A 14,739-nucleotide genomic window follows, 5' to 3' on the forward strand; every position below is an offset into this window, starting at 1 on the left:
TGCTTGAGCCCAGGAGTTTGAGACCCAACTTAGGCAGCATGGTGGAACCCTGTCTCTACAAAAACTTAAAATTTAGCTGGGCATGGTAATGCATGCACCTGTAGTTCCTGCTACTCAGGAGGCTGAGGCAGGAGGATCCCTTGAGCCCAGGAGGTCGAGGCTGCAGTGAGCCATGATTGCACCTCTACACTCCAGTCTGGGTGAAAGAGTGAGACCCTGCCTCCAAAAAAAAAAAAAAAAAAAAAATATATATATATATATATAAATATATATAAATTAAATGCAAGTTCTGATTCAGGAGGTCTAGGGTGAGGCCTTAGGGTCTTTGTTCCTTAAAAGCTTCCAGGATGCACTGCGTGGTATCTGCACTCAGCAGTTTACTCCTGCTAGGGTGTTCAAAGGTCAGTGCCATAGAAATCCAGTATCTGGTTTCATTGGTTTTCTTGGCTTTGTGCTTGTTAAACCTGGTATTTCTATTGATACAGCATTTGTATAGGTTTCTCATACTCTTCAGTTTGATATATTCTAAGAGTAAGCAATGCTTTTCTTTTTCTAAGGTGTCAAATTGAGAATGAAGCAGATCCTCCTACTGTGAAAATGACCCTAAAGTAAATTGGTTGAAGAAATTAGATCCCAAAGATTCTTGGTGAATTCTGATGCCTTCATCAGTATATTCATATTAAAAAGAGATGAAAGAAACCAAAATAAAAGAATTACGGGCTGACAGGACAACTGGATTAAGCATCAGTTCTATTAAAAAGGGCTAACTTGAAGATATTAATAAATCTCTTGAAGACAAATTTTGACTCCAGCTCTTTAGAGGATCCAAAGTGACCTTGATGGACAGTAGAAGGGATTACAACATAAAATTCCTTGAATAAAAATGTATTGATTTAAAAACAAAACAAAACAAAAAAAGGCTTCCAGGTGATACCAATGCTGTTTGTCTATGGACCACACATTGAGTTGTAGGCCTCTAGTCCAAATCTGATGCTTGAATCCCCTACCTGGAACTTCCCCAACCTGGCTTTGCCTCAGAATCACCCAAGGAGCTTTGAAATGCAGACCCTTGAGTTCCACTCCAAATTTCTTGAGTCAGATTCTCTTGTAGGCTGCATATCTAGATTTTTTAAAAAGCTCCCCAGGTGATGTTGATACAACCAGATTTTCAGCTGTCTGATTTGGCATTTGTTAGCCACTAGCCTACACTGCATTCCTACCAAGTTACCTGGTCTTGCAGCTTCTGCTTAAGCCTTTCCAGGGAAAGAGTAAACTCCCTTGGGGGTGCTGAATGCATTTACAGAGAAGCACTAATCATAGTTCTTATATTTAGGTCTTTGACCCATTTTGAGTTAATTTTTGTATATGGTATAAGGTATGGGTCCAATTTCTTTCTTTTGCATGTGGATATTCCATTTTCCCAGTGCCATTTGTTGAAAGAACTGTCTTTCTCCATTGAGTGGTCTTGGCACCTGATATGGTTTGGCTGTGTCCCCACCCAAATCTCACCCTGAATTGTAACATTCCCCATGCGTCCAGGGCAGGGCCAAGTGGAGATAATTGAATCACGGAGGTGTTTCCCCTATACTGTTCTCGTGGTAGTGAATAAGTCTCACGAGATCTGATGGTTTTATACAGGGGAGTTCCCCTGCACAAGCTCTCTTGCCTGCTGCCATGTAAGATGTGACTTTGCTCCTCATTTGCCTTCTGCCATGATTATAAGGCTTCCCCAGCCATGTGAAACTGTGAGTCCATTAAACTTCTTTCTTTTATAAATTACTCAATCTCGGGTATGTCTTTATTAGCAGCATGAGAACAGATTAATACAGCACCATACTGCTGAAAATAATTTAACCATATATGTGAAGGTTTATTTCTGGACCTCTATTCTATTTCATTGGTCTATATGTCTGTTTTTATTCCAGTATCATACTGTTTTGATTACCATAGCTTTGTAGTAAGATTTCAAATTGGAAAAGGTCAGTTCCCAATTTTTTTCTTTTTTTTTCTTTCTTTCTTTTTTTTTTTTTTTTTTTTTTTTTTTTTTTTTTTTGAGATGAGACAGGGTTTCACTCTGTCACCCAGACTGGAGTACAGTGGCATGATCACAGCTCACCACAGCCTCGACCTCCTGAGCTCAGGTGATCCTCCTACCTCAGCCTCTTCAGTAGCTGGGATTATAGGTGCATGCCACCAAGCCCAGTTAATTTTTGTATTTTTTGTAGAAACAGTGTTTTCCCATGTTGCCCAGCTGGTCTCAAACTCCTGGGGTCAAGCAGTCTGCCAGCCTTGGCCTCCCAAAGTGCTGGGATTACAGGCATGAACTACTGTGCTTGGTCAATTTTATTTTCTTAAGCTTATTTTGGCTATTTGAGGTCCCTTGACATTCTATATGAATTTTAAGATGTATTTTTGTATTTCTGCAAAAAATTGGGATTTTGACAGGGATTGCATGAAATCTGTAGATTGTTTTGGGTAGTATGGACATTTTAACAATATTGGGTCTTCCAATTCATGAACACATGATGCCTTCTTATTTTTGTCTTTATTTCATCAATGGTTTATAGTTTTCACTGTATATCTTTCACCTCCTTGGTTAAGTTTATTTCGAAGTATTTTATTATTTTGATGCTATTGTAAAAGGAATTTTCTTAATTTTCTTTTCAGATTCCTTGTTAGCACATAGAAACACAACTGATTTTTTTCTGTTTTTATCTTGTATCCTGAAATTGTGCTGAGTTCATTTATTGTAAGAAATGTTCTGGAATCTTTAAGGTTTTCTACACATAAGATCATACCATCTGTGAACAGAGATAATTTTACTTCTTTTTTTCCCCCAATTTGAAGGTCTTTCATTTCTTTTTCTTGTCTAATTGTTTCAACTAGAACTTGCAATATTATGTTGAATAGAAGTGGCAAATGCAGACATCCCTCTATTTTTCCTGATCTTAGAGGGAAAGCTTTCAGTCTTTTACCATTGAGTATGACATTAGTTGTGGGCTTTTCATATATAGCCTTTATTATGTTGAGGAAGTTTTCTCTTTTTTTGAGATAGGGTCTCACTTTGTCTTCCAGGCTGGACTGCAGTGGTACAATCACAGCTCACTGCAGCATCAACCTCCCAGGCTTGAGTGATCGTTCCACCTCAGCCTCCCAAGTAGGTGGGACTACAGGCGTGTGCCACCATGCCAAACCTGGCTAATTTTAAAAATTTTTTGTAGAGACCGGGTCTCACTATGTTGCCCAGGCTGGTCTTGAAATCCTGGACTCAAGCAATCCTCCCATCTTGACCTCCCAAAGTGCTAGGTTTACAGATATAAGCCACCACCACCAGCTGACGTATTCTTCTATTTCTAATCTGTTGATTGCTTTTATTATGAAGCGGAGTTGAATTTTGTCAAATGCTTTTTCTATATCCATTGAAATGATAATATGGGTTTTTTTTCATTGTGTTAACATAGTATAATATATTGATTGATTTTCATATGTTGAACCATCCTTGTACTCCAGAAATAAATCCCACTTGGTCATGGTATATAATCATTTTAATATGCTGCTGAATTTAGTTTGCTAGTATTTTCTTGAGGATTTTTGCATCAATATTTATAAGAGATATTAGGTTTTTTTTTTTCTTGTAGTGTCTTTGTCTGGCTTTGATGTCAGAGTAATGCTGGCCTCATAGAATGAGTTAGAAAGTGTTACTCCTCTTGAATTTCTTGGAAGAGTTTAAGAAGGACTGGAGTTAGTTCTTCTTGTAATTCATAGAATTCACCAGTGAAACCATCTCATCCAGGCATGTTTTTAGTGGGAGGCTTTTGACTACTGAGTCAATCTCCGAACTAGTTGTGGGTTTATTTAGATTTTCTGTTTCTTCATCATTCAGTCTTGGCAGGTCGTGTCTTTCTACAAATTTGTTCATTTCATCCAGGTTATCCAATTTGTTGGCATACAGATGTTCACAGTACTCTCTTATAATCCTTTTTATCTTTCTAAAATCATTACTAATGTCCCGGTTTCATTTCTGATTTTAGTAATTTTAAAATATTTTTCTGCCTTCTGCAAACAAATATTTTTTTTATATTATACTTTAAGTTCTAGGGTGCATATGCACAACGTGCAGGTTACATATGTATACATGTGCCGTGTTGGTTTGCTGCACCCATTAACTCATCATTTACATTAGGTATTTCTCCTAATGCTATCCCTCCCCCATCCCCCCACCCCACAACGGGCCCCAGTGTGTGATGTTGCAAACACATAATTTCTTTTTGAGACAGAGTGTGCTCTGTTGCCCAGGCTGGAGTGCAGTGGCGTGATCATAGCTCACTGCAACCTCAACTTCCCAGGCTCAAATGATCCTTCCACCTTACTGTCCCAAGTAATTGGGACTACAGGTGCACAACACCATGCCCTGCTATTTAAAAAAATTTTTTTGTAGAGACAGAGTCTCACTATGTTGCCCAGACTGCTCTCAAACTCCTGGGCTAAAGTGATCCTCCTGCCTCAGCCTCCCAAAGTGCTGGGATTACAGGCATGAGACACTGCACCCAGCCCCAACATATAATTTTTACCAAATTTTTTTCTTAGTTAATCTAGCTAAAGGTTTGTCAATTTTGCTGATCTTTTTGAAGAATCAAATTATGGTTTGTCATTCTTCTCTACTGTTTTTCTATTCTCTACTTTATTTATTGCTGTTTTAAACTTTATTGATTATTTTCTTATGCTAGCGTTAGGGTTCTTCTTTTTCTATTTCCTTAAGGTATAAAGTTGGGTTGTTGATTTGAGACCATTATTCCTTTTTAATGTAAGCATTTAGTTATAAATTTCTCTTTTAGCATTGCTTTTGCTGCGTTCCAAAATTTTTGGCATGTTGTATTTCATTTTCATTTGTCTCAAGATATGCTCTCTCTTGTGATTTCTTATTTGACACATTGGTTATTTAAGAGCGTGTTTTTTAATATCCATGTATTCATGAATTTTCCAGTTTTCCTTCTGCTGATTTCTATTTTCATTCCATTGTGATCAGAAAAGACACTCTGTCTGATTTCAGTCCTTTAAACTTTATTAAGGCTTGTTTTGTGGCCTAACATATGGTCTATCCTGGAAAATACTCCAAGTATATTTGAGAAAAATGTGTATTCTGCTGTTGTTGTGTGGAGTGTTCTACATATGTCTGTTATATCCAGTTGGTTTGTAGTGTTTTTCAAGTTCTCTCATTACTTGTTGATCTTCTGTTTGGTTGTTCTATCCATTATTTAAAGTGGGATATTTGGGGTATTGAAATATCCAACTTTCATTGTAGAGTTGTCTATTTCTCCCTTCAGTTCTGTCAATGTTTGCTTCATATATTTTTGAGCTCTGGTGTTTGGTACATACATGTTTATAATTGTTATTTCTTCTTCATGAATTAACCTTCTAAACAACATATAATGTCCTTTTTTTATCTCTTATAATAGTTTTTGACTTAAATTCCATTTTGTCTGATGTTAATAGAGCCACTTCTGCTCTCTTCTGGTTACTATTTGCATGGAGTATCTTCTTTCAGCCTTTCATTTTCAGTCTATTTGGGTCCTTATGTCTAAAGTGAGTCTCTTGTTGGCAATATATAGTTAGATCATGTTTTTTAAAAACCTGTTCTGTTTTCCATACGTCTCAGAGCTTTCTTTGTCCCTCATTCCCTTCATTACTGCCTTTTTCGTGTGTCTATGTAATTTTTTGTAATGACATATCTTGATTCCCTTCCCATTTCCTTTTGTGTGTATTCTATAAATATTTCATCTGTGGTTACCATGAGACTACATATAATACGGTAATGTTATAAAAATTTACTTTGAGTTGATACGCACTTAACCTAACTTGCATACAAAAACTCTATTCCTATACAGCTCTATCCCCTCATACTGTTCATGTTATTGATATCACAAATTATATCTTTATAGATTGTGTACCCACTAGCATAAATTTATAATTTTTTGCAAGTGTCTTTTACATTCCATAGAAAATGTAAAGTGGAGTTACTAACCAAAATTACAATAAAAAATGACTTTTCATATTTGCCCATGTATTTGCCTTTATTGGAGATCTTTATATCTTCATGTGGCTATGAGTAACTGTCTAACATCCTTTTATTTCATTCTGAAGGAGTCCCTTAAGCATTTCTTATAGCGAAGTTCTAGTGGTAATGAACTTTTTAAGCTTTTGTTTATCTGAGAATATCCACTAAGTTCATTATTCTTAAATAACTCTTCAACAAGGGGATTACATAGATAAAATTCTATATCAAATAGATATATTTTTATAGATACATTTTTTTATATCTAGATAAAATTCTAAATAAAAATTCCTGATGGGGATTGCTGGCAAGATGGCTGAATAGGAACAGCTCCGGTCTGCAGCTCTCAGCGAGATCGATGCACAAGGCAGGTGATTTCTGCATTTCCAACTGAGGTACCCGGTTCATCTCATTGGGACTGGTTGGACAGTGGGTGCAGCCCACAGAGGGCAAGCCGAAGCAGGCTGGGGTGCCACCTCACGTGGGAAGCACAAGGGGTTGGGAAAGTTTCTCCCCTACCCAAGGGAAGCCGTGAGGGACTAAGCCTGAGGAACTCCAGCACAGATACTATGCTTGTCCCACGGTCTTCGCAACCCACAAATGAGGATAATCCCTCCCGTGCCCACCCCACCAGGGCCCTGGGTTTCAAGCACAAAACTGGGCGGCCATTTGGGCAGACACCCAACTAGCTGCAGGAGTTTTTTCCATACCCCAGTGGCACCCCAGCGAGACATAACCGTTCATTCCCCTGGAAAGGGGTACTGAAGCTAGGGAGCCAAGTGGTCTGGCTTGGCAGGGCCCACCCCCACAGAGCCCAGCAAACTAAGATCCACTGGCTTGAAATTCCCACTGCCAGCACAGCAGCAGTCTGAGATCAACCCAGGGAATTCAAACTTGGTGGGGGAAGGCGTGTCCGCCATTGCTGAGGCTTGAGTAGGTGGCTTTATGTTCACAGTGTAAACAAAGCCACTGGGAAGTTCAAACTGGGTGAAGTCCACTGCAGCTCGGCAAGGCTGCTGTGGCCAGACTGCCAGATTTCTCTTCTCTGGGCAGGGCCTCTGTGAAAAAAAGGCAGCAGCCCCATTCAGGGACTTATAGATAAAACTCCCAGGCTGGGTGCGGTGGCTCACACCTGTAATCCCAGCACTTTGGGAGGCCGAGGTGGGCGGATCATGAGGTCAGGAGATCGAGACCATCCTGGCTAACACAGTGAAACCCCATCTCTACTAAAAAATACAAAAAATTAGCCGGGTGTGGTGGTGGGCACCTGTAGTCCCAGTTACTTGGGAAGCTGAGGCAGGAGAATGGCATGAACCTGCGAGGCAGAGCTTGCAGTGAGCCAAGATGGTGCCACTGCACTCCAGCCTGGGCAACAGAGCGAGACTCCATCAAAAAAAAAAAAAAAACAAAAAAACCTCCCATCTCCCTGGGACAAAGCACCTGGGGAAAGGGGTGGCTGTGGGCAAAGCTTCAGCAGACTTAAACGTACCTGCCTGACAGCTCTGAAGAGAGCAACAGACCTCCCAGCACAGCATTCGAGCTCTGCTAAGGGTCAGACTGCCTCCTCAAGTGGGTCGCTGACCCCCATGTATCCTGACTGGGAGACACCTCCCAGTAGGGGCCAACAGATACCTCACACAGGAGAGCTCTGGTTGGCATCTGGCAGGTGCCCCTCTGCGATGAAGCTTCCAGATGAAAGATCAGGCAGCAATCATTGCTGTTCTGCAGCCTCCACTGGCGATACCCAGGCAAACAGGGTCAGGAGTGGACCTCCAGAAAACTCCAGCAAACTGGCAGTAGAAGGGACTGACTGTCAGAAGGAAAACTAACAAACAGAAAGGAATAGCACATCCACTCAAAGACCCTATCCAAAGGTCACCAACCTCAAAGACCAAAGGTAGATAAATCCACAAAGATTGGGAGAAACCAGCAGAAAAAGGCTGAAAATTCCAAAAACCAGAATGCTTCTTCTCCTCCAAAGGATCACAACTCTTCACCAGCAAAGGAACAAAACTGGACGGAGAATGAGTTTGACAAATTGACAGAAGTAGGCTTCAGAAGGTAGGTAATAACAAACTCCTCTAAGCTAAAGGTGCATGTTCTAAACCAAAGCAAGGAAGCTAAAAACCTAGAAAAAAGGCTAGAGGAATTGCTAACTAGAATAAGCAGTTCAGAGAAGAACATGAATGACCTGATGGAGCTGAAAAACACAGGACGAAAACTTCGTGAAGCATACACAAGTTTCAATAGCCAAATCAATCAAGCAGAAGAAAGGATATCAGTGATTGAAGATCAACTTGATGAAATAAAGACAGAAGACAAGATTAGAGAAAAAAGAATAAAAAGGAATGAACAAAGCCTCCAAGAAATACGGGACTATGTAAAAAGACCAAACCTAAGTTTGATTGGTGTACATGAAAGAGACGAGGAGAATGGAACCAAATTGGAAAACACTCTTCAGGATATTACCTAGGAGAACTTCCCCAACTTAGCAAGACAGGCCAATATTCAAATTCAGGAAATAGAACACCACAAAGATACTCCTCGAGAAGAGCAAACCCAAGACATAATCGTCAGATTCACCAAGGTTGAAATGAAGGAAAAAATGTTAAGGGCAGCCAGAGAGAAAGGTCGGGGTATCCATAAAGGGAAGCCCATCAGACTAACAGTGGATCTCTCTGCAGAAACCCTACAAGCCAGAAGAGAGTGAGGGCTAATATTCAACATTCTTAAAGAAAAGAATTTTCAACCCAGAATTTCATATCCAGCCAAACTAAGCTTCACAAGCGAAGGAGAAATAAAATCCTTTACAGACAAGCACATGAGAGATTTTGTTACCACCAGGCCTGCCTTACAAGAGCTCCTAAAGGAAGCACTAAACATGGAAAGAAAAAACCAGTACCAGACACTGCAAAAACATACCAAATTGTAAAGAACATTGACACTATGAAGAAACTGCATCAACTAACTGGCAAAACAACCAGCTAGCATCATAACGACAGTATCAAATTCACACATAATAATATTAACCTTAAATGTAAATGGGCTAAATGCCCCAATTAAAAGACACTGACTGGCAAACTGGATAAAGAGTCAAGACCTATCGGTGTGCTGTATTCAGGAGACCCATCTCACATGCAAAGACACACATAGACTCAAAATAAAGGGATGGAGGAATATTTACCAAGCAAATGGAAAGCAAAACAAAACAAAACAAAACAAAAAACAAAAACATTAGTTGCAATCCTAATTTCTGATAAAAGAGACTTTAAACCAAAAAAGATCAAAAAGACAAAGAACAGAATTACATAATGCTAAAGGGATCAATGCAGCAAGAAGAGCTAACTATCATAAATGTATATGCACCCAATACAGGAGCACCCATATTCAAAAAGCAAGTTCTTAGAGACCTACAAAGAGACTTACGCTCCCACACAATTACAGTGGGAGACTTTAACACCCCACTGTCAATATTAGACAGATCAACAAGACAGAAAATTAACAAGGATATTCTGGACTTGAACTCAGCTCTGGACCAAATGGACCTAATAGACATCCACAGAACTCTCCACCTCAAATCAACAGAATATACATTCTTCTCAGCACCTCATCGCACTTATTCTAAAACTGACCACATAATTGGAAGTAAAATACTCCTCAGCAAATGCAAAAGAACAGAAATCATAACAAACAGTCTCTCAGATCACAGTGCAATCAAATTAGAACTCAGGATTAAGAAACTCACTCAAAACAGCACAACTACATGGAAACTGAACAACCTGCTCCTGAATGACTACTGGGTAAATAACAAAATTAAGGCAGAAATAAAGATGTTCTTTGAAACCAATGAGAACGAAGACACAACGAACCAGAATCTGTGGGACACATTTAAAGCAGTGTGTAGAGGGAAATTTACGGCACTAAATGCCCACAAGAGAAAGCAGGAAACATCTAAAATGGACACCCTAACATCACAATTAAAAGAACTAGAGAAGCAAGAGCAAACAAATTCAAAATCTAGCAGAAGACAAGAAATAACTAAGATCAGAGCAGAACTGAAAGAGATAGAGACACGAAAAACCCTTCAAAAAAAATTAATGAATCCAGGAGCTGGTTTTTTGAAAAGATCAACAAAAGAGATAGACCACTAGCCAGACTAATAAAGAAGAAAAGAGAGAAGAATCAAATAGATGCAATAAAAAATGATATAGGGGATATCACCACTGATCACACAGAAATACAAACTACCATCAGAGAATACTATAAACACTTCTACACAAATAAGCTAGAAAATCTACAAGAAATGGATAAATTCCTGGAAACATACACCCTTCCAAGTGTAAACCAGGAAGAAATCGAATCCCTGAATAAACCAATAACAAGTTCTGAAATTGAGGCAGTAATTAATAGCCTACCAACCAAAAAAAGTTCAGGACCAGACGGATTCACAGCTGAATTCTACCAGGGGTACAAAGAAGAGCTGATATCATTCCTTCTGAAACTATTCCAATCAATAGAAAAAGAGGGAATCCTCCCTAACTCATTTTATGAGGCCAACATCATCCTGATTCCAAAACCTGGCAGAGACACAACAAAAAAAGAAAATTTCAGGCTAATATCCTTGAAGAACATCGATGTGAATATCCTCAATAAAATACTGGCAAGCCAAATTCAGTAGCACATCAAAAAGCTTATCCAACACAATCAAGTCGGCTTCATCCCTGGGATGCAAGGCTTGTTCAACATATGCAAATCAATAAACGTAATCCATCACATAAACAGAACCAATGACAAAACCACATGATTATCTCAATAGATGCAGAAAAGGCCTTAGACAAAATTCAACACCCCTTCATGATAAAAACTCTCAATAAAGTAGGTATCGATGGAACATATCTCAAAATAATAAGAGCTATTTATGACAAACCCATAGCCAATATCATACTGAATGGGCAAAAACTGGAAGCATTCCCTTTGAAAACTGGCACAAGACAAGGATGCCCTCTCTCACCACTCCTATTCAACATAGTGTTGGAAGTTCTGACCAGGGCAGTCAGGGAATAGAAAGAAATAAAGGTATTCAAATAGGAAGAGAGGAAGTCAAATTGTCTCTGTTTGCAGAGGGCATGATTGTATGTTTAAAAAACCCCATCATCTCATCCCAAAATCTCCTTAAGCTGATAAGCAACTTCAGCAAAGTCTCGGGATACAAAATCAATGTGGAAAAATTACAAGCATTCTTACACACCAATAACAGAAAAACAGAGAGCCAAATCATGAGTGAACTCCCATTCACAATTGCTACAAAGAGAATAAAATACCTAGGAATACAATTTACAAGGGACATGAAGGACCTCTTCAAGGAGAACTACAAACCACTGCTCAAGGAAATCAGAGAGGACACAAACAAATGGAAAAACATTCCATGCTCATGGATAGGAAGAATCAATATCGTGAAAATGGCCATACTGCCCAAAGTAATTTGTAGATTCAATGTTATCCTCATCAAGCTACCATTGACTTTCTTCACAGAATTGGAAAAAACTACTTAAACTTCATATGGAACCAAAAAAGAGCCCGCATAGCCAAGAAAATCCTGGGCAAGAAGAACAAAGCTGGAGGCATCATGCTACCTGACTTCAAACTATACTACAAGGCTACAGTAACCAAAACAGCATGGTACTGGTACCAAAACAGATATATAGACCAATGGAACAGAACAGAGGCCTTGGAAATAAAATCACACATCTACAACCATCTGATCTTTGAGAAACCTGACACAAACAAGCAATGGGGAAAAGATTCCCTATATAATAAATGGTGTTGGGAAAACTGGCTAGCCATATGCAGAAAACTGAAACTGGACCCCTTCCTTATACCTTATACAAAAATCAACTCAAGATAGCTCATATTCTTAAACGTAAGACCTAGGACCATAAAAATCCTAGAAGAAAACCTGGGCAATACCATTCAGGACATAGGCATATACAAAGACTTCATATCTAAAACAACAAAAGCAATGGCAATAAAAGCCAAAATTGACACATGGGATCTAATTAAACTAAAGAGCTTCTGCACAGCAAAAGAAACTATCATCAGAGTCATCGGGGGACCTGCCCCGATAATCACGTAGGTTCTTTTCTATTTTTCCTAAGCGTCGGCTGGCTTGAGAAATAAAGGGACAGAGTACAAAAGAGAGAAATTTTAAAGCTGGGCATCCGGGGGAGACATCACACGTTGGTAGGATCCGTGATGCCCCACAAGCCACGAAAACCAGCAAGTTTTTATTAGAGATTTTCAAAAGGGGAGGGAGTGTGCGAATAGATGTGGGTGACAGACATCAAGTACTTAACAGGGTAATAGAATATCACAAAGCAAGTGGAGGCGGGGCGAGATCACAGGACCACAGGACTGAGGTGAAATTAAAATTGCTAATGAAGTTTCAGGCACCATGGTCATTGATAACATCTTATCAGGAGACAGGGTTTTGAGATCAACCAGTCTGACCAAAATTTATTGGGCAGGAATTTCCTCTTCCTAATAAGCCTGGGAGCGCTATGGGAGACTGGAGTCTATTTCATCTCTGCAGCCTCGACCATAAGAGACAGGCTACGCCCAGGGGGCCCAGTTCAGAGACCTACCTGCAGGTGCACATTCTCTTTCTCAGGGATGTTTCATGCTGAGAAAAAGAATTCAGCGATATTTCTCCCATTTGCTTTTGAAAGAAGAGAAATATGGCTCTGTTCTGCCCAGCTCACCGGCGGTCAGAGTTTAAGGTTATCTCTCTTGTTTCCTAAACATTGCTGTTATCTTGTTCTTTTTTCAAAGTGCCCAGAGTTCATATTGTTTAAACACACATGCTGTACAATTTGTGCAGTTAATGCAATTATTACAGGGTCCTGAGGTGATATACATCCTCCTCGGCTGACAGGATTAAGAGATTAAAGTAAAGACAGGCATAGGAAATCACAAGGGTATTGATTGGGGAAGTGATAAGTGTCCATGAAATCTTTACCATTTATGTTTAGAGATTGCAGTAAAGACAGGCATAAGAAATTATAAAAGTATTAATTTGGGGAACCAATAAATGTCCATAAAATCTTCACAATCCATGTTCTTCTGCCATGGCTTCAGCCGGTCCCTCCGTTTAGGGTCCCTGACTTCCCCCAACAAGGGTAAACAGGCAACCTACAGAATTCTCCCTACAGGGAGAAAATTTTTCCAATCTATCCATCTGACAAAGGGCTACTATCCAGAATCTACAAAGAACTTAAACAAATTTACAAGAAAAAAACCAAACAACCCTATCAAAAAGTGGGCAAATGATATGAACAGACACTTCTCAAAAGAAGACATGTATGCAGCCAACAAACATATGAAAAAATGCTCATCATCACTGGTCATTAGAGAAATGCAAATCAAAACCACGAGATACCATCTCACAGCAGTTAGAATGGCGATCATTAAAAAGCCAGGAAACAATAGATGCTGGAAAGGATGTGGAGAAATAGGAACACTTTTACACTGTTGGTGGGAATGTAAATTAGTTCAACCATTGTGGAAGACAGTGTGGCAATTCCTCAAGGATCTAGAACTAGAAATACCATTTGACCCAGCAATCCCATTATTGGGTATATACCCAAAGGATTATAAATCATTCCACTATAAAGACACATGCACATGTATGTTTATTGCAGCACTATTCACAATAGCAAAGACTTGGAACCAACAAAAATGCCCATCAATAATAGACTGGATAAAGAAAATGTGGCACATATACACCATGGAATACTATGCCGCCATAAAAAAGGATGAGTTCATGTCCTTTTCAGGGACACGGATGAAACTGGAAACCATCATTCTCAGCAAACTATCACAAGAACAGAAAACCAAACACCGCATGTTCTCACTCATAAGTGGGAGTTGAACAATGAGAACACATGGACATTGGGAAGGGAACATCACACACTGGGGCCTGTTAGGGGGTGAGGGGCTAGGGGAGTGATAACATTAGGAGAAATACCTAATGTAGGTGACGGGTTGATGGGTGCAGCAAACCATCATGGCACATGTATACCTATGTAACAAAACTGCACGTTCTGCACATGTACCCCGGAACTTAAAGCAAAAACAAACAAACAAACAAAACAAACCAACAAAAATTCCTGATAAAATCTGTGGTGGATACCAAAATAGTTCAAGTATGGTCTTACCTTTCTTACAGTGCAGATCAATTGATCATTAAAAATGGCCCCAAAGTATCTCATCTGTAGTTGTCCCTTGGGTGAGCCCTTTAAAATTGTTTTATCAGACACAGGATCACAGGATTTTAGGGCTGGAAGGGATGCTAGAGATTTCCACAAAGATATTATTGAAATAAAGTTAAGTATCTATTATTTGCCCTCTTAAAAATACTGTCTCAAGAGAACCCTGAACATTACACTTACACCAAAGCATGCTTCCTTATTTGAACATTTGAAAGATATTCTAAATATGTGGGGTTCTTGGATTTGTGCCCAGGATCTTGTCTTTTAGGATAGAAGTTTAGGATAAGTGACACTTCCAATTATAATTTGTCACTGAAGTGGGCCTCTCTAACTCATTTCAATAATAGAGTAGTTACTTCGGGTAGGCAGCCTGGGGGTTTCACAAAAGGCTGAAAATGTGCATAGCTGATAATTAAAGTC

At 39.4% G+C, this 14,739-nt stretch overlaps 1 non-coding gene across 1 annotated transcript; it reads left to right on the plus strand.

The window, feature by feature from the left end:
* Positions 1–348: 348 nt before the first annotated feature.
* LOC124900495 (small nucleolar RNA SNORA8) lies at positions 349–487 on the plus strand. Its single transcript, XR_007068425.1, has one exon. It is a non-coding gene; the product is annotated as a small nucleolar RNA SNORA8 (small nucleolar RNA).
* Positions 488–14,739: the final 14,252 nt, after the last annotated feature.

This window comes from Homo sapiens, chromosome X (assembly GCF_000001405.40).
Source record: "Homo sapiens chromosome X, GRCh38.p14 Primary Assembly".
Classification (NCBI taxonomy): Eukaryota; Metazoa; Chordata; class Mammalia; order Primates; family Hominidae; genus Homo; species Homo sapiens.